The sequence below is a fragment of the Homo sapiens genome, chromosome 3 (genome assembly GCF_000001405.40).
Source record: "Homo sapiens chromosome 3, GRCh38.p14 Primary Assembly".
Classification (NCBI taxonomy): domain Eukaryota; kingdom Metazoa; phylum Chordata; class Mammalia; order Primates; family Hominidae; genus Homo; species Homo sapiens.
Window position 1 is genome coordinate 130,634,348 of NC_000003.12, and position 24,653 is coordinate 130,659,000.

Here is a 24,653-nt window from a genome sequence, read left to right on the forward strand (position 1 = left end):
TCAGATGTATACTTTTAGCCACCTAGGTAGTTATGATATGTTGATGAAACCCTTAAATACTTTAACTTATAATTTAGTTTGTTTCTCAAATACTGCTATTTCACTTCCAGATTTCAATTGTTTTGGCCCTTCCTTAATTCAGAGGTACCAAAACTACACAGGGCAGCAGGTAAATTGAAAATCAATGTAGACTTCATTGGGTGATGTGTGCCTGTATAAATCTTTCCTCCTGTCCATTACAGGGACAAGAAGGATTCCCTGGAGAAAGTGGACCTAAGGTACCGTGTGCTTCCTAGTAACTAGAGATCAGTCAGAAATACTCCTGGGGTTTATGAAATGTATCCTAGGCCAGTAGAAGAACAGTTAATGATAAATAAATGTCCTACCTTTGTGCGGAGAAGGAGGGAAGAAAGAAATAGACCAATATTTTTTCAATTTTTAAGATTATACATTTGTTTAGGAGTGTAAGGCTTAAAAAGTATTTCTAGTTTTTTAATTAGTATGAGAAGATAGAAAACTTATCCTTTTAAAATTTTTTCCTCAAATTTACTCCTTCCCTCTATCATATATATTTTCTTATTTACTGAAAGAAAAGTATAATGTAAGGCCAGGCGTGGTGGCTCATGCCTGTAATCCCAGCACTTTGGGAGGCCAAGGCAGGTGGATCACTTGAAGTCAGGGATTCGAGACCAGCCTGGCCAACATGGCAAAACCCCATCTCTACGAAAAATACAAAAATTAGCTAGGCGTGGTGGTGCATGCCTGTAGTCCCAGCTACTCAGGAGCCTAAGGTGGGAGGATCACTTGAACCCAGGAGATGGAGGTTATAGTAAGCTGAGATCTCTCCACTGCACTCCAGCTTGGGTGACACAGTGAGACTCTGTCTCCAAAAAAAAATAAAAGTAGAAAGAAAAGTGTAATGTAAAGAAAATAAGAGTTATTTGATTTTACCTGTCTCAGTTTTCCCAATATGTTTATAAATCATCTTTAGATAACTAGTTAGCAATGACATCTTCTACCTTGGAGATACCACTTTTTCTAGAAACCCTTACTGAACTCAGTAAATGCCAGGTCCTATGATAGAGTCAGAGGATAAAATAAAGAACAAAGTTCATTTCTCCAAAGAGCCAGTGTTCTCACTGGGGAGACAGCAGAGTGAAACAATGCTGACGCAGTGTGCTATGTAGAGAGTTACACAAATGGAAACACACACACTCACACTCTTCAAAGATGACTGTTAAAAATGCATACGAAAAATGTCTTCATGTTAGAATCAGTTTAAAGATGCAAATATGTTACATATGTATATGTTTGATTTTAATAACTATTTTACTTTAATAAATGTATTTAGGGTGAGATTGGGGACCCTGGTGGTCCAGGAGAGACTGGGCTGAAGGGAGCTAGAGGCAAAATGGTAAGCTTCTTAGATTCCAATTGCTGACAACCTCACTACATTGGGAAGTCCTCCTTTGTGCATTTACAATAATTTGAGTTGTCTTTTGTTACCAGTGACTTGCAAAATGCATGTGTTTTCTATTAAGGCAAACTTGGGGAAGGGGAATGGATAGTCATCTCTCAATGCCAGTGCAAAAACAATGAACTGTTTGCTTTTAGTGAGCAAGTTCACCTGTTTTAGCTGCCAGGGTACCATACTTAACACTGGTAATAAGATTTTTTAAAAGAAATCCTTGTGATTCAAAACAGCTTTTACACTGCCAAAATGTAGTTAGTTTAATCCTGTCTCCCTGGCAGGTTTACTGCAACCTAATGCCCACTGGCATCTTGTCTTCACTATTCAGGTTTTGTTAATCTACTTTTAATGAGATACATGCAGAAAGGTCTTCTCATTTAGCTCAAGGAGGTTATCTCTTGAGCTTTGTGAGAAAGTTTGCTTACTGTGTAACTGAGTAGGTCTTTATTCTGTAGAGGTTCTTAGATATTGCCTAGTGCTTTGAGTCACTTGGAATAAACACAGGTCTCCAGTACAATTCATCCTGTAGGCTTGCCTTGGGTTCCTGTGGATTAAGAATGGATTTCTTGCATTTGCTGACTCTCTATATATCTTAGACTGTGTATAAGTGAGAATGCTGTTTTAGTTTTTTAAAAGACAGTCCTAAGATAATTGTCTCTTGATACAGTGATCATCTTTTTTCTTCAGAACAGCACTGATCAGGCAAACTGGTCTTAATTTATCATGTCAATTAGCAAGAATTTTAAAAGTCTGATAAAAATGTATACTTGAAATGGTTTTCCAGTTTTGTCTTCATAGCTAATTTTGCTCTGATCTATTTTTGTTTCTACAAACTATACGATCTTTATGTATAGATATTACTTGTGTAGGTTTTAGGGGTACAAAATAAGGAAACTCCTCTTCTTCTGCCTCTTCCTCCCCTTCCCCCTCCCCTTCCTCCTCCCCTCCCCTCCCCCTCCCCTTCCTCCTCCCCTCCCCTCCCCCTCCCCTCCCCCTCCCCTTCCTCCTCCCCTCCCCCTCCCCTTCCTCCTCCCCCCCTCCCCTTCCTTCCCTTCCCCTTCCTCCCCCTCCCCCTCCCCTTCCTCCCCCTTCCTCCCCTCCCCCTCCCCTCCCCTTCCCCCTCCCCCTCCCCCTCCCCTGCCCTTTGTCCCCCTCTCTCTCCCCTTCCTCTCCCTCCCCTTCCTCTCCCTCCCCCTCCTCTCCTTCCCCCTCCCCTTCCTCTCCCTCCCCCTCCCCCTTCTCTCCCTCCCCCTCCCCCTCCCCTTCTCTCCCTCCCCCTCTCTCCCTCCCCCTCCCCCTCCTCCAATGAGAACTGCTTCCCACCTATAATGCTTGTCCTCATACATGTTTTTGGATGGCTATCCATTAACATTATGCTCTAAAAAAAAAAGATGAAGACAGATATAATTAGAAAAATAATTGGAAAAGACTTTCAAATTAATCCAGATGTCATCTGCATTGAACTATCTCTGGATCATTTATTTCCCTTGGCTTATTAATTAAGAAGTTTAACCTTGAACATCAGAAGCACGCTAACAAGTTCATGGTTGGATCCCTCCCCACAAAGTCACATTATTCATTTTTAAAGACAATAAACGAATGGGAAACATAAACTTTTTCTGTTGGCCTTTGAAAATGTTTGAAAATTTTTTTTTCTCCATTTTGGACAATTTATCACTGTTCTTAACTTGCTCTTTCCACCCACCCAGCTACTTTTTCCAGCTTTACATTAGTGTTTTTGGATTTGAAGTTGAAGTTTAGACATTGAAAATATCCAGGTTTTCCCTCTAAAAGAGCTGAAGTTTCTATTGGAAGATTTTGGTAAAACTTCAACTTAAATTCTGAATGCTTCGTCAGTTCTCTTTGAATGATTATACTCCTTGTTTAAATTCTCTAAATCTTCACCTTGATTTTTTTTTCCTCAAAAAACATTTTTTAAATTTTGCTATGATTTTTAACCTGTTTTATTTTGTGTATATATGTATGTTTGTATGCATTTTGTTTTTCTTTTTCCCACCTTTAAAAGCACGCACATAGTTTAAAGCAGGGTTTCTCCATATCAGCACTGTTGACATTTTGGGCTGGATAAGGCTTTGTTGAGGGGCTGTCCTGTGCCTTGTAGAATGTTTATCCACATCCTTGGCACCTACCCACTAGATTCCAGCATCAACTACCCTCTGTCCTACCCACACCCCAGGTTATGACAATCAAAAACATCTTCAGACATTGCCATATGTCCCAGGGAAAAAAAGGAGTCAAAATTCTCCCTTGCTAAGAACCACTGGTTTAGAGAGTCAAATAACAAAGTTTGTTATATTAAAAAAAAAAAAATCCTTCACCCCCTCACTCACTCCCATTTCCTTCTCCCCAGAAACAACAGCTGTCACTTCTGAACTGATTTGTTTCAGAATTGACAATATGCCTCTAAATATCATACTTACCTTCTTACTTTTTTGATTTATAAATTTTAAGCATTATGAACTGATTCCTCCTGCTATAAAAGTTGCTGATGTACCTTTCTTGATTTTCCCTTATCTAAATCCTGTCTGAAAACATTTAGATGAGGCAAGTGTTCTCTCCAACTTAATCCCAACGCAGAGCCTTCCAACCTGACCCACCTGATGGAGGTTCGTCTGTGGCTGGTGCCCAGCTGCCATACTGCAATTGTCCTTCACCTTCACCCTTCCCTTTGCCTCTCTTCTGCGTTGGATCTCTGCTTCTCATTCTTATTCTCAGACTCCTCTTGTTGGATTTCTCCCTTGTTTCGTGGAAAACTCATCCAGTAGCCTGCTAAGAAGGGGTGAATGAAAGGTATAGTTTTTGAAACAGCTAACATCTGAAAGGATTTGTAGTACCTTGAGATGTGATTGGATATTTTGGATTGGATATTCCAACAGTTCTGGGTTGGAATTAATTTCTCAGAATTTTGAAGGCTGTCATTCCTCCATTATTTCTAACTTCTTTTGTTACTTGGGGAAGCCCAAAGCCATTCTGATTCCTGATGTGGCCAGTGTTCTCTCTCTGGCACCTTATTGCATAATTTCTCTGTCTGCAGTGTTTTGATATTTCCTGGGTTTTATGAGTTGATGTCCATTTTTATCCATTTTCCTGGGCATTAGGTAGGTCCTTCATAGGCACTAGGAGCCTGGAAATATGTGTCCTCCAAAGAAGTGTTGGTCAATTATTTTGATGATTTCTTGCCCTTTATGTTCTCTATTCCCTATTTATAAAATACCTATTATTGGGTGTATTAGTATTAATTTTCTTATTTTTTCTGTTCTGTCGTCCAGCTTTTTGTCTTTTTGCTCTACTTTCTGGGAGAGTTCGTTGAGTTTATCTTACAGTGTTTCATACTTGAATTTTCAAGAGCTTGTTATTGTTCTCTGAATGTTCCTTTTTATAGCATACTGTTTTTGTTTCATGATTAAAATATCTTACCTTTCTGAAAATATAAATATTTTTGTCTTTTTTGCCCAACATAGTCTGTTTCCTGCATTTTATTTTCCTTTCTGTTTTGAACTCTATTACTCAGATTTTTCAGGAATGAGCTATTTCTTCATATTTAAGAATTGAAGACAAAAAGACTGATTGGGGTCAGGTGCGGTGGCTCACGCCTATCATCCCAGCACTCTGGGAGGCCTAAGCAGGCAGATTGCTTCAGCCCAGCAGTTTGAGACCAGCCTGAGCAACATGGCCAAACCCCATCTCTACAAAAAATACAAAAATTAGCCACGCGTGGTGGCATGTACCTGTAGCCCCAGCTACCAGGGGGCTGAGGTGTGAGGATCACCTGAGCCCAGAAAGTCTTGGCTGCATTGAGCTAAGATTGCACTACTGCATTCGAGCCTGGGTGAGACTGAGATCCTGTCTCAAAAAAAAAAAAAAAAAAAAATGACTGATTGGAAGCTCTGAGAACATGAGTGGGGCTTGTCAACTACCGGTTTCCCAAAGAGAGTGATCTAGCTAAATTCTTTGTTTAGCAAACCTCTGAAATCAATATCTTTTGGTCTTTCTTCTTTGTCTAGTGAAGTTCTCCTGAAAAAACTTCTTACAGTTTCCTACCTGGAGAGTAAAGGTCTGGCTGCCAGCTTTCTAGGAGCCATATAGAAAAAGAGAGCTGGAGACTCACACATTTACTGTACATACCCTCATTTACTCTCCCTGTCTCAGATACTGTAGGTTCTCAACTCAGCCTGGAGTCCCACCTTGGTTTTACCTCTCTTTGTTGCTAGGGTGGGAAAAGGGACATTCACCCAACCCTTGAGAATAGAGAGGAGATTTGGAGATTCCTAAAATGATTTTCAACTAAACATCTTTACTTCACCTTTTTCCCTCACCTCCACTTCTGGAGGTTCCCGGTGCTGCCAAATCCTCAGCCTTCTGGGACGTATGATATAAAACACATTGGTTCTTGGCTTTCCCTGCTGCTGGCTTAGGATTCAACTTTCTCAGGTCTGTTCAGTCATTTAACACTTACACATTTGCTTTCCAGATTCACATTTTATGGCTGTCATCTCCTTTTTCATTCTCCCCACCATTGTTTTTTGCCTTTAAAATAATCTACTTACTGTCATTTTAGTAAGATATTGGAAAGGAATGAAAGTAAATATATGTACTCAATCTGCTATTTTCTCCTTGGAGGTTAACCTTTATCTTCTAAATAAAAATATTTTATTTTTCACTCAACCAAGCACACTGTCAATATCATTGGAATGCCCAAAGGATATCAATCATTATTTACTGTTTTATAGGTAATGCTTTTACAAATTAAGTTGATTTTAAACTTCATTTTTTATTCCTGTAAATGTTGTAAATCCTGTGGCATTTTGAATGAAGAAAGAAATATTCCAATTTTTAAACTAAGTCCTAGCTTTATGATAAACTTATTGTTGAATGCACGTGAAAATATTTCTGACATCTAGTAAGCAGATAACAACTGTTTTTGTTGCTGTTATTCCCCATTTCATTACAATATTTCCAAATAATGATTGTGTTTCTGTTGTTTTAAAAGTTTTTGTATTTCAATTTTGTTTTTCTAGACTTTTTGCTTTTTGTTTTTTCAGTTTAGTTACCTACCACTCCATTTAGATAAAAAGTTTTCCTTTGACCAGCAATTCTAGTCCTAGCAATCTTCCCTAAGGAAATAATCAGAATTATGCATATAACTTTATAATAGCATTGCCTTATAATAGCATCACCTAATAGTGAAATCAATCACTTGAGAGTCACACGGAACTTTTTAAAAGATGATTATTAATGCCTGACAGTAACTGACAGAATTGAATTCACCTGGTATGGAAGAAGCAGCTGTGATAATAGGGTGTCCTGGTGGGTGGGGGTCCTATTACCTGTTGCCTATTGCAGCAACAAACAGTAAGGGACTAACTAAATTATCTATTGCCTGTTACAACAACAAACAGTAAGGGACTAACTAAATCATGGTACAACCATGTGATGGGATACTATGCAGCTGTGAAAAATGATTTTGCCAAATAATGTTTACTAACTGAAAATGTCCAGAGATATATTTAGTTTAAAAGGTAACAGAGAAAAGTATGATTCAAATGAGTTTTAAAAAGGAATATATGTCTTAATTCCAAAAAAAATAAGAAAAGACATCAAAATGTTAATGAGGATTATTTGGGGAAGAAGGGATTGCTGGGAATATTTTTTCCTTCTTTATGTTTTTTGGAAAACTCTCAATTTTCTAAAATAAAAGTGAAATTTTCACTTTTGAATTTTCACCTTTGAATTTTAATTTTTTAAAATTTGAATTTACACACACACATACATATATGTATAAATACAATTTTAAAATAAATTCTCCTTTGAGATATCTGCTGGGCTTCCAGGAGAGATGGGATCCCCTGGGGAACCAGGACCTCCTGGACGTAAGGTAAGTAGAAAAACTATAAACCACAGCAGGTCCTTTTCCATTAAAAAAAAAAAAGTCAGTGCATGAAATCTTCATTGTCCAAATGTGCATGCCTTCTGTCTCTGCTTCTTGGCCACTTTTTTCCCACCTTTATGGGGGAGAAAATACTGATTAAATATTTAGAGGTGAAAAAATACTGATTAAATACATCTCTTGAGAGAGAGGGGAAATTGAAGGAGGAAACCAAAAGTACTTAAACTAAAATGGTATTTCTCAATTATCATATTCTGTATCTGTTCAATCTTTCTATATGTAATAAATGATCATTGGATGAATGGAAGTGAAAGGAAATAAATAGTGACTGTGATCAATGTTGCATTCACATGGAACTTATTTGCTTCAGGAGGTCAGGGGGGGCTCTGTTGCATTTTTTTCTTGGGTGTCTCTCTTTGAAAGAAGCCAGACTCCTCTTCTTCTGAAGATGGGATTGAACACATAAGATTAAAACCAGTTCCATTTGTTCTTCTATCCCAAACTCTGACAGATTATATGTGTGTGTGTGTGTGTGTGTGTGTGTGTGTGTGTGTGTGTGTATTTTTTGTTTTGGGAAGGTAGTTGAGATAACCTTTCCAGATGTTCAATTGAGTCCGATCATTTTGTCAGCTAACAAATGATGGGAACAGATTAAGGTTCAGCTCTGGCTGCTGTTCAGTGGCTCAGTCAAAGAATGGGGGTTGAAGACCTTGAAACTTCTGCTATGAAAGAGGGCAACTGCACATGTGTGGCTCACTTTAGCTAGTCCTGAGGCGTAGGCGTGCTCCAGAGCTCTGCGGCAAGTGTCAGGTTGTCAGCTCCATCCTGGTAATTCTGGACAATGCTTGTTAGCCAGAGATGGACCCGGAGGAAAGCGGCCTCTCAAGGCTTGTGTGCACCAAGCTTGCTGCTTAAAGTTTGTTCTTTCCAGAATGTTACTGTTAATTAGGTAATGAGTACCTACCTGCATTCTTTTTTGCCTCTTACAATTTAATGAGAATAAAACTTTTAAAAGTTATCACTTTCTGAGGGCAATGTTGGTGCACACTGGCTACTGATGTGTATGTCTAGAGGCATTAAAACAATGTTTTGTTTGTTTTCCTAGGGTGTGAAAGGAGCCAAAGGCTTGGCTTCATTTTCTGTACGTATCTCCCGACTACAACAGAGTGCTCTGAGTGCTCCATTCAATTTACTTATTTTTAAACCTCAGGGCCTAGCAGTTTGTTGTTTAATTGTTTCTGTTTTATTTTCGAACTGCAGACATGTGAGCTCATTCAGTATGTGCGAGACCGCAGTCGTAAGTACCCTGCTTAAAATGATCACCCAAGTTGTCAGCATTCATACAAGAAAAGCAGAGAAACCTACACTCAGAATTGAATTCACCAGCCAATTTCTTAAAATTGGAGATGTCACTGCATGTATTTTTGAGTCAGCATAGACTGGTGACTTTTAACTCCCTCTCTGGTTGCTATCATGTCTATTGAAACCCATGTCAAGCAGTAAGAAATAATCTATTGAGTGCTTTTAATCTAAAGAAAATTGAGATTTGATGTCTGAATTCACCTAATAGTGAAATCAATCACTTGAGAGTCACACGGAACTTTTTAAAAGATGATTATTAATGCCTGACAGTAACTGACAGAATTGAATTCACCTGGCATGAAAGAAGCAGCCGTGATAATAGGGTGTCCTGGTGGGTGCGAGTCCTGACTTTGGTTTATTGTTTGTTATTCCTTTCCCGGGAAGATATGTTTGATTATTTTTTGTTGGACTGATTGATTTGCTTTAAAAATTCATAGTAATACTCATTCTGCCAATATTTTTTCTTTCTCAAAATTTTAAAATCAAAATGACATTTTGATTTGGCAAATGCTGATTAGAATTTGTTTTAAACCTTTCTAACAGCTTGTTCTATCAAAATATGTGTTGATACCATCAAAAAAAATTTCATGTGCAAGATTAGGAGAGAGTTGACTCTTCAGTGTTCATCTACAAATGCATAATGACTTTCCAAATAACAATATGACAGAAAAGAGGAGCCAAAAGTTTCCTCCAGATATTTTGGGGGAAGAAAAATAAATTAGAGCCTATTTCAGTAGAGAACATTGGTCTCAAAGACAGACATTTAAAAACTTTGAATGCAGTGTCTATTGGAACTCTGTCTTTTTGTAGCAGAATAGAACCATGATGGGAATCAAAACACATGTATACATTGAGTCATGAAGATGGGTTGTTTTGGGGCTCAGTTAGTGCGGTGGGTTTTATGACATAGGAACCATGTAAATTGTAATGACTCAAGGGCAAATCCAAGTATATTGAGACCTGATATTTTAAAATTTAAGGGACTCCATAAAAAATCGCAAATCTAAAAGTGGGTGCAAAGGTATTTCAAAAGTAAGTGTTATTTAGAACAAAAAAGAAATCATAACCATTAACTTTTGCATATTTTATTTTATAAGAGTATGTGATTGTGCGAACAACATGGCTAGGGTTCCTGCCAGGAAAGGCATTGCAAGGGGGGACCCCTGCAAGAGAGAAGTCTAAAGCAGCATTGTCCAATAGAAGTTTCTGCAGTGATGGAAGTGTTCCCTGTGATGTCCAGTACAGTAGCCACAAGACACATGTGGCTTTGAGCATTTCAAATGTGGCTAGTGCAACTGAGAAGCTGAATTTTTATTTAATTCTAATTAATTTTAATAGCTGCATGTGGCTTGTGGCTGCCATGTTGAACAGTACAGGTCTAAAGCAAGTGTTCATTTAATTCAGAGTAACTCCACCTCTGATACTTACATAACATATAAATATGCATATAATATACATATAGTATACACATATATACTATACAAAGATATAGATACATTTGTGTGTATGTGTGTACATATATATAAATGATAGTTATAGATATCTACATGGGAAAAATTTAGAGTAAAGAGAGGTTGGATCTTTCAGCTTTCCAAATTCAGCGCACCTCCCTGCAATGTCATTTTCCCTCCCAGGCAAAAAGTCTTTGTTTCTTGACAGCTGGCTGCAGGCCGCTGATTTATGGCTGTATGTTGTCCCATTTCTCACATCCTCTTCCCTTTGGAAAGAATAGTGCTTTTACCAAGATGTTAGACTCTGTCTGCATTTTCTCCAAACTCTGTTGCCTTGATTTTTGAGTCATCTACAAAAAGCAGACAGGATAGAACCTTTCTTTCCTGCACGATACAGAACTCTCTTCTCCTACCAAATAATAATCCAATCTCCTTTGTTCTTCTTCCCCAGCTGGCAGGCATGGTGAGTAATCTTTATTTACAGCATGCTTTAATCAAGCTCTAAAATGTCATACATCTGGAAAGATGAGTTAGAGCAATGTATTGGCTTCCAAATGACACAAATTTTATCTGGGCTTTCTTTGCTGCTGCCTCATACTGGTAGCAGAGTCTTGCCTCCAATAAATCACTCAGCTGTAGCTGAGCTTCACAGCTATTTCTCAACCAAGCGATTTGCTTTTTTATTAATAAAAAATCATTAAGATATTAATATCTTAATGACTAACATCACCATTCACCTTGCTTTTAAAGGTTTTAAAAATATGTTGGGGTTTTTTTTAGACATGCTCTGTCACACAGGCTGATCACTGTTCATTGCATTCTTGACCTTCTGGGCTCAAGTGATCCTTCCACTTCAACCTCCGGAGTAGTTGGGACTACAGGCACATGCCATCATGCTTGACTAATTTTTGTATTTTTTGTAGAGGCAGGGTTTTGCCATGTTGCCCAGGCTGGTCCTGAACTCCTGGGCTCAAGTGATCCACCTGCTTTGGCATCTCAAAGTGCTGGGATTACAGGTGTGAGCCACTGTGCCTGGCCAAAAATAGTATTTCTTACTCCCTTCATTTTCTCCCTGTGTCATATCATCTCTGTCATCCAGTGGTTAATTAGGGATTAAGATGCAGAAGGCAGAATAAAAGTGGGGATGATCAGATAGCAAGTAAGTGGAATGTGCAACTCAGATAATGCCAGAATCCATGGAGCTCATGCCTAATGTTAATTATCAAGTTGGCTTCATATTTTTCAGTGCTAGTTTTCAGGTATCTTACAAATGCTTCTTACATGATGTTTTTCTGTAAACTTATCACCCTCTTATACATTTATACACTTTTACCTTTTGTATAAGCCCACAAACCCATGTCCTCTGATTGCTTATCCATGCATTTAAGAATATTTGTTGAAAGCCTAGTAAGTGCCAGTATGTGTAGTAGGCATTAGGGATACAGAGTTGAATAATGAATCTGCTTCCTGTGCTCAGAAACTTCCATTCTTATGGAGGATCCAGATCACAAACAAATAAACAAAGGGAAGCCCAGCACATTAGGTGCTATTTGAAAGAGATAACCTGCACATTGTGCACATGTGCCCTAAAACTTAAAGTATAATAATAATAAAATAAAAAATAGAAAGAGATAAAGCATAGGATGCTGTGTCCTGGGATAATGTAAGGGGGGGAGATGTTTTTGGACAGAGGGCTCTTTTTGGGGGCAGTGAAATTAAAGTTTAGACTGAAGAACACAAAGGAGCTGTCTTTTGGCTGGGCGCGGTGGCTCACGCCTGTAATCCCAGCACTTGGGAGCCCGAGGCAGGCAGATCACGAGGTCAGGAGTTTGAGACCAGCCTGGCCAACATAGTGAAACCCCATCTCTACTAAAAATACAAAAAATTAGCTGGGCGTGGTGGCACATGCCTGTAATCCCAGCTGCTTGGGAGGCTGAGGCAGGAGAATCACCTGAACCTGGGAGGCAGAGGTTGCAGTGAGCCGAGATCACACCACTGCATTCCAGCCCGGGTGATAGTGTGAGACTCCGTCTCAAACAAAAAAAACCAAAGGAGCCATCTTTCAAGAGCTGGGCATAGGGAACTTTAAGTGCAAAGGCCATGAAACAGAACAGACCTGGGTATTTCCTAGGAACTGATGGAGCCCAACAAGGTTGAGACATAGGGAGGGGGAGAGTAGTGCATAAAAACATGGGGAATAGGCAAAGGCCAGAGCAAGCTGAGCTTTGCACATTATAAGGAGGCTGGATTTTATTTGAGTTGTGATGGGGTGGGTATTAAAGAGTATGTTGAAAGTATGTAGGGGAGGAGCATGATCTGATTTTAAAATATTACTTGGGCTGCTATGGGGAGAGTGGATTGTGGCAAGGGTGAAGGGTAGGAAATGTCAAAGCCAAAGGCCTAGTTTAGAGAGGACTGTAGTATTCAGGCAAATATGGTGGCGACCTGGATAAGGACCATCAGTGTTGTGTTTAGGTTACATGGCAGTGGTTTGGGCTGATCCTTGCCTCCCTGTTCTTTTTTTCACCTCCTCTGTGGCAAGTAGCAGTCCTCAGTACATAGTGTGAGGTCACAGAGCCATGTTAGTTGGGGAACCGCACATGGCAATCCTTCCCTTTTTGAGGAGGGCCTCCTAGGTACCACTGCCATCCAGCCTAGGCTTCTTCAGAATCCTTGGGATTCCTGGCAGCTTGCTTGGTTTTTAGGGCTTGTGTTTTGGAAGCTGAATTAGTCCTTAGGTTTTTCCCCTAAAAAAACTTGAATTTTTTTTTCATATCTTCAGCCAGTGCTGTGAACCTTCACCCACCCTTCTCTCTAAATTGTATCTGAAGCATTTTTGTTGTTGTTTCCATGTGCAAATAACCACCCCCCAAAAAATCAGAAGAATCACTTTCATGTTTAGTTCTACTGACTTTTTTAAACGATAAAAGTGACACGTCCATTTATAAAAATCTGTTCAGCCCAGTAATTTAGACTTAGAGACTAATACATGATTTCCTGTCTCCATCGAGATGAACAGTTTGATTTGGGTTTGAACATTTATTCTCACTGGTACTTCTTTTGCCTTTGAAGGACATGGAGTCAAGGACGGGAGGAGGTCATAGTTTAGCACTAAGGTGGGCAAGGCCCAGTTGGCCCATGGCAGAGGGATGTCTCCTTGCCAGCCTACGTGAGCCCCAGCAAGTCTGAGTTCCTGAGCTTGTTGTAAAGCAAGATGGTCTTTGCTGTGTTTATTATCTCTGAATCTGACTTGCTGATATCTGAATGAGAGGAGGCACCTCTCCAAGAGAAACACATCACTGGGGTGTCCTTTTACCAACCAAATCCCAGCACTAGGCATCTCACGTATTATTAAACTTTTGTTATTTCTATACCTGTTGCAAAGAACTGCTCTTTGTTGAGCTCTTTTTCATTCATTCAGCATTTGTTAGATATCTGATATATGGCAGGGACTAATAACTTAGAAGGTCAGCAGATCCTCTTCCTATCCATGCATCATAAACTAGGATAAATGAACATTAATCAGATAATCAAAAATAAGTTATCAACTGTGACAAGTGCAAAGTACCGAAATTAGAATGATTTGGAACCAATGAGTATGGATGCATAAATATGCAATTAACACTTACAGTAGAGTTTACCAACCATAATCAGTTTCTCTAAGTAATAAGGCATATTTATTGAGTAAACTTGCATTTGTAACTGTTAAACAAAAATGTATCTGTTAAAGCTTTCCTCAGTCTCCTTTTAGTGATGTATTTCTCACAATGAAAAAGTCTGGAATGATAATTATAACAGCAATGGTTGACATTTATTGAGCACCTACTATGTGCCAGGTTCTGTTATTCTAAGTACTTTACCTGTGCTGATTCATTTAATGCTCACCTCAGGCCTATGTAGCAGGTGATGTTATGACTCACATTTTACAGATGAAGAAACTGAGGCACAGACAGGATGAGTAATTCAGACAGGGTCACATGGCTGGTTAGTGATTGGGCCAGGGCGCTAAACTCTACCCTGTATTGCCTACTCTCTTTGCGTCTCATTCTTTGCTCTGTAAATTATGTCAGTTTTCTTCCAATTTTTCTAAAATTATCAGAGCTTTCACAGCCTTTCCTTTTTAACTCTTATTACATTTCCTTATTAAGTAAAAAAAGAAATGTGTTTAACTGAGTGAAGTTCCAGCAACAAAACTTGATACTTTTGATCGAGTCTCTGCAGGTGAAGGGTATTTCCAGGAGCTCTCTATTGTTTAGAAGGAATTTGATAATGAACTTTAACATTTCATATAAAATAAAACTGAATTCCAGATGTTTTCCTTTTGTGCTTGATTCAAAAGAGCAGACTCAGCTTTTGGAATAACATCTATAATTATTCAAGATTTAAATATATTTTACATGTTTGTTTTAATACTTAAATTATTCTCTTTAAGTATTTGAATGCTTAACATTTAAAATTACTTTGCCTTCTATGTATCTTTTTTTTTTTTTAAATAAGGATGCTATGTGTTAAGGGATATGGTCTTTTAGGAAAACCGGAATGCCCAGTGCACCCAACCGAGTTGGTGTTTGCCCTGGACCACTCCCGGGATGTCACTGAGCAGGAATTTGAGCGGATGAAGGAGATGATGGCTTTCCTGGTGAGAGACATTAAGGTCCGGGAGAACAGCTGCCCCGTGGGAGCGCACATCGCCATCCTCTCCTATAACTCCCACGCCAGGCACCTTGTGCGCTTCTCAGACGCCTACAAGAAGAGTCAACTTCTCAGAGAAATTGAAACTATTCCTTATGAGAGATCCTCTGCCAGCAGGGAGATTGGCAGAGCAATGCGGTTTATTTCCAGGAATGTCTTCAAGCGGACGCTTCCGGGGGCACACACGAGAAAAATCGCCACATTTTTCAGCAGCGGTCAGTCCGCGGATGCCCACTCCATCACCACGGCTGCCATGGAGTTCGGCGCGCTTGAAATCATTCCCGTGGTGATCACTTTCAGCAACGTGCCCTCGGTCAGGCGCGCATTTGCGGTATGAGGATGAAACCTTTCACATGACAATTCTTACTTATCTTGCCTGTATTCAGAAGCCCCTATACTACCTTGCCTTCAAAATCAGGGCCATTTGTTAGGAAGTTTAAAAAATTCTGGATTGGCAGAGTAGAATAAGTATTTCTTACTGTGTACTGGGAACACGTTAAGCTCTTTCTATTAAATGGGATAATGTCTATTATTTACCTGTTTAATTTTCACAAGTAGTATGTATAAAATAGATGATGAGAAAACTGAGCATGCAGAAGTTAAGCCACTTTTCACGGTTCCCACAGCTAAGAAATGGCAGTGTCAGAACTTTACTCCAAATTTGCTGTTCTAGTGCTTCCCCAAGCTACTCTTTGAGTTGCCTCTGAATCTAAAGATACTGAATCAGGAGGCCGGTAAACATACATGTCACTTAGGGTAGTAATTGTTGCTGTGTGATGAGAGCCAATTTGCTGATTTTATAACTTCACTAATTATAAAGGAAAAGCCATTGCAGTTATAGCTTCTTAGCTTGAGGAGTAAAATCTCAAATGTGTTGCATTCCTAAATAAATTCCCTGGGATTAAGATGACTGATGATAACTTTAAAATATCCCGTTAATAGTGGCTCAGTGGCAGGGCTTCATCACTGGGGACCTGCTGGGCCCAGCAAAGGGTCCTTCCAGTTGGCCTCTTGGCACCACATGGTGTTCTGTTCTCCATGTGGAGACCGTGAAGGGGGGGGCCAGGGAGCAGCAAAGAGGCATTGGAAAATTTAAATTAAAAGTCCAGGGCCGGGAGCGGTGGCTCACGCCTGTAATCCCAGCACTTTGGGAGGCCGAGGCGGGTGGATCACAAGGTCAGGAGATCGAGACCATCCTGGCTAACACGGTGAAACCCCGTCTCTACTAAAAATACAAAAATTAGCCGGGCGCGATGGCAGGCACCTGTAATCCCAGCTACTGGGGAGGCTGAGACAGGAGAATCGCTTGAACCCAGGCGGCAGAGCCAAGATCGTGCCATTGCACTCCAGCCTGGGTGACAGAGTGAGCCTCTGTCTCCAAAAAAAAAAAGAAAAAAGAAAAAGGCCAGCCATTTGAAAATTTATTTAGAGAAAATAAGACAAGAAACAATCATTGTCTTCAAGCGTATGAAAAAGTATTACTGGAGAAAATTAGCCAGCTGAATTCCAAATCTGCAAAATCATAGAGAAACTAGGGGTGACAGCAGTAGGAAACTTTAGGTTTTAAAAAAGAATTTTTGAAAGGCAATGTTGATTTACTGGGCATGAATTAATGCCAGTAGTCAAGATGTTACCTTTATCTGCAGGTCTTTTGTAAGGGTGGTCACTCACCTGTGGAGGGTGACTTCTATTTTTCCTAGATTAGAGGCTAAAAGTGGCCTTTTGAGGCCATTTCCACTGTTCTAAATTTTCTGTGAAAGTGTTGAAATAAGCATAACAGAGTTGGAATATATTTCTCATCTGTAAAATATGGAAAGCAGAAAGCACCTGGTTCCTAGAGTTAGTGTGAAGATTAATTTATGCAACACTGCATTAGTGCCAGTACGTAGTGAGCAATCAAGAATGACAGCTTTTGGCTGGGTGCGGTGGCTCACGCCTGTAATCCCAGCATTTTGGGAGGCTGAGGCGGGCAGATCACGAGGTCCAGAGATTGAGACTATCCTGGCCAACATGGTGAAACCCCGTCTCTCCTAAAAATACTAAAATTAGCCAGGCACAGTGGCGTGTGCCTGTAATCCCAGCTACTCAGGAGGCTGAGGCAGGAGAATCGCTTGAACCCAGGAGGCAGAGGTTGCAGTGAGCCGAGATTGTGCCACTGCACTCCAGCCTGGGTGACAGAGCGAGACTCCATCTCAAAAAAAAAAAAAAAAAAAAAAAGAATGATAGCTTTTGCTTTAATTATTAGCATTCAGTTGCTTGATCCTGAACAAAAATTTGTTTAATAATAATCTAGGTTGTAAAGGAGCTGAAACTGCTATTATTAATAGTAGCATCATTGAACTAACCTTAGAATTATGCAAATGAAAGGCTGATGGATCAGGTTCAGATAGGGAAATGCAATAAAGTAGAAAAGAGTGGGGCCGGGCTATGCAAATAGAGTTGCTATGAGAAGTAGCAGTAGCTAAAAAATTCAATAAGTGATTTTGGTTACATAGTCCTTGTAATTCCCTTATCCCTTGGTTTTGTTTAGTCATAAAAGGAGACAACTTTCTCTCCTGATGCAAATTGTGATATAAACTTAAACTGACACAATTCCACTCACCCACTCAAAGGTGTGTGTACAACATTTAACTTCTGAAAATGTACTTTGTGTTTTAAACTTTTGAGTGTTCAGTCTCACCTAGAAATTGATGAATCTGGTTTCTTGATTCTACTCAAATCTTCTAGAAACTCTTAACTCCTTTTTTGAAGAAGTTCATCTCAAAAGAGCACCAATGAAGGTTTAAATTCTTCATAATGACCCCCATTAATGTAAGCAGCATTGGCCCCCAACACTGCAACTTATATGTGATTATCTGATTATTTTTCCTAATTTATGATGTGTGGCGATAGGAACAGTAACTGCTGATCTTCTAGTTTATTGGTCCCTGCCATACATCAGATATTTAACAAATGCTGAATGAATGAAAAAGCTCAGCGAAGAGCAGTTCTTTGCAACAGGTATAGAAAGAACAAAAGTTTAATAATGTGTGAGATGCCTAATGCTGGGATGTAGGTTGGTTAAAGGAAACCCCAGTGATGTGTTTCTCGTGGAGAGGTACCTCTTCTCATTCAGATATCAGCAAGTCAGATTCAGAGATGATAAACACAACAAGGACCACATTGCTTTACAACAAGCTCAGGAACTCGGACTTGCTATGGAGTCAGAGATGAAGTCAGAATTGCTCCCAAGTTTCATCCAACAGATGTTTAATGAGTGCCTCATCTTATACACCAGGTACTGTCCTAGGGTCTGAGGATACAGGAGCAAACTGGAAAACCAAAAGGCCCACCCTGACGCTGGAAGATGAAACCAAGCAGGGTTGTCTGGAAGGGCTCAAAACAGAGCCATATATGCAACTTGGTTAGAACCCAATGTCTGATATTACAGAAGAGAAATTACATTACTACCTCTACTTGCCGCCTTCTTTCTTTTATCCATTCTCTTCCATTGTGCTTTACCTACATTTAAACTGTTGTCCATTATTTTTTAAGAACAGAACTTGAAAGTCTCATGATACAATGCATTTTTATTGTGGGTCCACATTTTAAAACCCTAGTTTGTTTCATACCTACCAAGGCTTTTCTAAATCTTGATCCATCTGGGAGTTAAGTAGTCCATCATGAAATTTGGTACCTGTGCAGCCATGTGTGTTGGGACTCAGAAGCACCCGCTCTGACAGCATATACTGATTTCCCTGTTTCTTAGCAAATGGACTGTGATCACCGTCTTGGAAGTTTTTCATGATAGTATGAAGTTGAGTGGCAAGCTGTGCCTTCCTTCACAAATGGAGGACCATTTTTTAATGGAAAAACATGTTTTTTGTTTGTTTGCTTATTTTGTCCCTAGGAATTTGCCTTTAGATTTGTTTAGCAATTGCTTCTTCTGATAAAATTTGACGTGCTGCACATTGAGGCTTCTAATCTAGGGTGAATCTCCCTTTCCAATATTTTGATAAGAAATATGTCTTTTAGCTAGCCTGGCTTTTTATTTTACACTGCTGTGTGGCGTCGCAGCTAAGAGGAAAATTAAGTGTAGTCTTTGACATTATAGATGATTCTCATGATTAGAGACAGAGTTGAAATGGGGGGAGACTTCTCATGGAAAACAAGAATTTTGGCACCCAACCTTTTTATTTTGAAGATAATTTTTATTTGTTTATATATAATTGTCTAGAAGAGAATTATTCATAATATTCATTGTATTTTTTCTTAGATGTTTAGACATGCCCCATGATGTTTAGAGAAGAAAGAGTAAGGTATCATTCAGAACCCTTTGCTAAATGCCCCAAACCTCCCATCTGTGAATGTAATAGCTGTGCTTTCATCCAAGCTGGTGCTTCTTTGAATCCACAGGAGAGTGAGCAATAAGAAACATAAATAATAGGACCATTTTATTTTAAATCTTTAGCCCACATTCAGTTTAAGGAATTTTTCTGTAATATGCTAACTATACTTATTCCAGTGATATGTGGTAGGATGAATGAACTCTAAAACTACATCTTCCAGACTTTATTGACTGAAAGATTACTTGGTCAAGGGGGAAAGGTTGGGGGAAGTGGGGAGGTATTGGGTGAGAGTGCAGACCCCCTGTGGACTCTCCCCATAAAACAACTCACTAGAATCAATGAGAAGGTTGATGTTGCTCTAAGTTGACACCAATGTGTTGATACGTGATTAAATGTGAGCCTAAATTATCAGCAGGGACCAACACCAGAAATATGGAAGTGGTCATGTTGTAGACATGTAGAACATGTAGAATAGAAGACTAATTAGCAAATGGCAGCAATGTTTGGGCAATGTCTTGAGAAACACTGCTCTAAATTAAGTTAGAGACCTACTGATAAAAAACTCTAATCATAAAGGTAGCTAATACAGAAGATGGAAGGTAGCCCTTGTTTGGGGAGAGCAAAACTTAAATCGGAGCCTTCCATAATCCACCCCTTCTGAGGCTCACTTGGCTCATCTTTAAATGGTTGCAATAGATGACATCATTCCTGATTTCTTCTAGATCAAATGTTCCATGATTTTTTTTTCCCCCTGGATCCTGATCATTGGCAATAAGAAAGCTCTTGGCCCTTCCCAGGTAGTCTGAGCTATGCTGTCTGAACTGACACTGGGTTTGGTTTCCAGTCATTTACCACAATCCAGATGGAGTGAAGGCATGATTCACTTAAAACATTGCAAAGAGACACCTCTTAATAGCTATTAATAATGCAGACTAACTCTCCTGGTGTATAGTCAAGACTACTTTGTTTACAGATCACAAAAACCAATTTAAGCTAGCTTAGGTATACCCATATACACACATCCTAAGTAGAATTTATAAGTATCTGGAGCCCAGGTGTCCTCTGGTCCTAAGTCCAGATAAGCAGCCTCTGCTTTTACCCTGTGCTCATGTAACGTTCCAGTAGGTTCATTTTGCCTACTGCCCACATAGAGCTGACTTAGCAAGATGGGGAATTGCAGTAGAGAAAGAGCTTAATTAATGCAGAGCCAGCTGAACAAGAGACCGGGGTCTTATTATTACTCAAATCAGTCTCCCTGAGAATTTGGAGGCTAGGGCTTTTCAAGGATAGTTTGGGGGAAGAGGGGAGTGGTTAGGCAATGGCACTTGCTGCAGATTGGTTGGAAATGCAATCATAGGGGTGTGGAAAATGGTCTTCATACACTCTGAGTCACTTCTGGGCGGGGCCACAGGAGTGGTTGGTGGGTTCAGGTGGAGCCATTAGTTATCAGAAATGCAAAACAACCTGAAGACATCTCAAAGGGCCAATCATAGGTTCTACAGTAGTGATGTTATCTGTAGGAGTAAATTGGGGAAGTTATGTATCTTGCAAGCTCCAGAATAATGACTAGTAATGAGTAATATAGCCCATTGTTCCTGAGGTGTCCAGGATCCCCTTTTTACCCTCCAAAGTGCCTCATAGATAAGCAATTTTGTTTGGGTTAAATCTTTCCCACGGTGGCCACTGTAACTCTTATTTTTGGTAAGGTTTACCCATTTCTCTAGAAGAGAATAGGTTCCAAGATAGAAGACTTGTTGAATCCAGATGAACCCACTCTTCTCTGTCTTCCTTAATCTTACCAACCTACTGGACCCAGTCCAGCTTCTGCCTGACCCAGTCAGACATCTGAGGCCTCTAATTGGATGCAATCCTATTAATTACAGGATCCAATCTGATCTTGGACCCAGCCAATATAAAAATTACTCAAATAAACTTGAAGAGCTCAAAACACAAGTTCATGGAGCTTGAATCAAAGAGAACTCACCCATGATCCCAGTTGCTGTGAGAGATCAATGGGCACAGTGGACCAGGCAGGTATATTTACCTGGTCACTTGGTGCGCCTGGGAGTCACTGGAAGTCTACTTTGGATCCCATTTGTGATACCAAAGTGTTAAAAACTTTAGGCAAGTTAAATTTTGCAGAGTTTATTTGCACTAAGAGCTATTTGTAAATCTGTCATGGGATCTTTGGGGTGTTGCTCCACCAGCTGGAAACCTCTGTGGCCAGTGGTGCCTTTGCCCAAGTTTTTACTCAGGCCCACTAGGCTTGTTCCACCCATTCAGCCTGGCAGGCTGTGCTTGGCTCATGCTACCAGCCTGAATCTCATACCTGCCAAGGGCAAGCCAGGCATGGAGCAGCGAGGGGTGTGTGAGCAAGTGATTGTGGGGTGGCAGGGTGGGCAGCTCCCTGCGAGGCTGTGGCTGGACCAGGTGTACCTCAAGCAGCTTCCACAGCTGGCACTGGGGAACATGGTGGCACCTGGAAACTTGGAGATGCCAGGAACTGCAGACCCCCAGAGAGGGTATCACAGCCCTGACTTGAGCTCCTAGGTCTGGGCTCCCCAGAGGGCTGCAGCTCTTCTCTCTCCTCTCCTCTCTCCTCACCTTGTTGTCACCCACAACGTGGTGAAAAAGGAGCATGTTTCAGCCCTGTGTGTGTTACAGCTGTTTTAGCTCTACCATTCAGTGGGTCCTGAGTTTTTGTCCTGCATCCTGGAAGAATGAGGTACACAGACAAGTGGAGGGTGAACAAGGTGAAGAGGAGCTTTATTGAGTGACAGAACAGCTCAGAGGAGACCTGCAGTGGGTAGCTCCTCTCTGCAGACAGGGTCTCCTGATGAGTGTCTGGCTCTCAGCAGAGAGGAGGCCCTGGGGTGGGTAGCTCCTCTCTGCAGCTGGTCAACTGGTGGCCTCCTTGAGTCTGTCCGAGTCCAGGGTTTTTATGGGTTTCAGAGGGGAGGAAGTGTGTGCTGATTGATTAATGGGAGGCCACTGACGGGCCAGAAAAAGCACCATAAGTTCCCATTTTGGTCAGCCCAGCCCCCAGGCTTCGGGCTCCCCCTGGCTTGAAGGTGGGGTTTCACTGAGGACCCACCCCTTTCCACACAGAGGCCTGTCTGCCTCCTTCTGTCATCCAGTGGAGCCCAGGCTGTTTGCACTGAGGGGTGCCTACAGGCCAGTACCAAGCTGCCCTGAGAACCCCCCTTGGACTCCCTCTCGTGCTTGTTAGCACCCAAACTCGGGAGGGGGCTGAGGCAGTGAGGCTGGCATGTCAGCACTGCCCATGGTGTGTGCACACCTGGCCGGGTTGCAACAGTGCCTGGGCTCAGCCTCAACTTTGCTCCAAGATCAGAGCAGGTGCTGGAGCAGAGAGAGGCTAGGTAGCAGGAGCAGGCATTTCGAGCTGGTAGGGGCAAGGGGTTTCCCAGGTCTCCAAGAGTGCAGAAATGCCTGGGCCCACAGCCGCAGCCAGACGGCTGCAACTGCTCCCAGGAGGGCAGGGCCCCTGCCTACTCCCAGCCCCCAAGAGCACAGGGATGCCTGGGTCTGGAGCCACAGCTGGATGGCCGCAGCTGCATTCAAGGAGCAGGAGGCTCTTACCCTGCCAACTCAGAAGCGGGTGGGGCTTCCACCTGTTCCCAGCTCCCAGGGTTCCATGGAGTGTGCAGCCCCGACTGTACTCAGGTAGCATGAACCAAGCACAGCCTGCCAGGCTGAATGAGTGGGACAAGCCTAGTGGGCCTGACTGCAGCCAGCATCATGGCAGTGGCCACTCCAGATGGGCCACCACTGCCATCAAATCGAGCAGCCCTCAGAACCAGAGGAGTTTCAGAGAGCTGTTCTTCACAATGTGGCAGGCAGTGTTTATGGATGAAAATGGAAGTGAACTACAGAAACAGCTTGACTGATTACGGTTCGGGCTTTGCCTCATTTGAACATGGTCTAATCAGTTGGCCACTTGTGACTAACTGAAGCATAGCCGCTATGATTGGCTAAGACTTGGCTATTTGTTTAAAACAACAACAACAACAACAACAACTCCTAAGATAGGTTTTCAGTTAGTACGTACTAAGTTAGGTTGCAGTTGGTTACATGAGGACTCAAAATACAGAGGTGTCCTCAGGCCAAATGTACTTTAACACCATATCTAGTCCAGTCAGCTATGGTTGAAGACAGAGTTACGCCATATAAACAACTGATGAAGTTCTACCTCTGTGGATTAATTATGGTGATGGGGGATCTTCCCAGAGAAAGAGGGTAGTCATTAGCTTAGGACAGGAGAATCACAGGGAAAAACTAAAATATCATCTGACTCATCTCTTAGGCATTAGATAAGGTCATGCCTACAGTTTTTCTTTAATTATCAATGATCTCTGGGTCAATTAGTGAAGCTCATAATTCTTGTTCAGAGCCTCCTTATCTTCCCCCTGTTCTCTACCCTCAAGCTCCCCCTGTGGGTTACTAACAATGGGGCCAAGTTGGGAAAGGGTTGGGAGTTGTTCAGAGAGCTGCATGGACGTAGATCTGAGTGTATTTCAAAGACAGCTTCAATGCCTAGTTTATAGTAGAAACCTAAAGATAGTTTATAAAGGGCATCCTGTGATTTTACATGGGTCTCTGAGACTTAGGTAGGGGAGAGGAGGTCTCTGATACTCTTTCTTAAATGGCTTCAGTGTCTTTTGATCGGTCCTTTTAACGTTTCATTGAGCTTCAGTTTCCCCATCTGTAAAATGGGGATGATGAGCATAACTCACTGTATTGCTGCAGTAATAGATATGAAAATGTTTTGTGATCATTAACCACCCACACTGTACTGTCTGTGCAAGCGCTTTACAAATATGAACCCATTTAATGCTCACAGTAGTCCTGTTAGGAGGTAGTAGTACTCTTATTTTACAGATGAAGAAACATGGAAAATAACTTGTCATATAGTTAAATTGAGAGTCAAGGTTTAAACCCAGACAGAGCTCTTAGCCATGCTTACATGCTGTGCCTCCCCCGTACCTTCTTAGAAGGAGCAGTGTTACTCTCTCCAGATGTCAGTTCTCTATGTAGTCCTAAGAGGTTCTTGCAGCCCTACCCACTAAGTTCTTTCTGCTGCTTCTGCTTCTTTTAGATTGACGACACTGGCACATTTCAAGTAATAGTGGTTCCCTCCGGGGCCGACTACATACCAGCATTAGAGAGACTCCAGCGGTGCACTTTCTGCTATGGTAAGACCCACAGAGAGAAGGTAATTTGGTCAGGCCTATTAAGCATGATGAGTCACCACTGGCAGGGGCAACTGGAACTTGGCAGCAGGGATACTTATGGCCTTGGGAGGACCTCTCTGGGGTTCTGGGCCCACCCTGTCACACTTCATCTTCCACAGATGAATCCTCTCAGCTCAGCAAACATGGTCTCTTCCTATATATCCCAGCAAAAGAGTTGCATTCCAGGCC

The 24,653-nt window shown here is 41.2% G+C and overlaps 1 protein-coding gene across 15 annotated transcripts in view; it reads left to right on the forward strand.

The window, feature by feature from the left end:
• COL6A6 (collagen type VI alpha 6 chain) overlaps positions 1-24,653 on the forward strand; it is a 160,323-nt gene that overhangs the window by 117,628 nt on the left and 18,042 nt on the right. For 13 of the 15 annotated variants that reach the window (XR_924103.3, XM_017005713.3, XM_017005711.3 and 10 more), the window contains 8 exons: positions 243-278; positions 1,352-1,414; positions 7,305-7,367; positions 8,485-8,520; positions 8,640-8,676; positions 10,644-10,655; positions 14,722-15,215; positions 24,329-24,425. Coding sequence is in view for 14 of the 15 variants with exons in the window: in XM_017005713.3 (XP_016861202.1) it covers positions 243-278; positions 1,352-1,414; positions 7,305-7,367; positions 8,485-8,520; positions 8,640-8,676; positions 10,644-10,655; positions 14,722-15,215; positions 24,329-24,425 (838 nt within the window). In the remaining variant the exon portion in view is untranslated. Of the gene's footprint in view, positions 1-242; positions 279-1,351; positions 1,415-4,031; positions 5,144-7,304; positions 7,368-8,484; positions 8,521-8,639; positions 8,677-10,643; positions 10,656-14,721; positions 15,216-24,328; positions 24,426-24,653 lie in introns of those variants that run through there. The other 2 variants (XM_011512431.3, XM_017005716.2) reach the window with 2 other exon arrangements.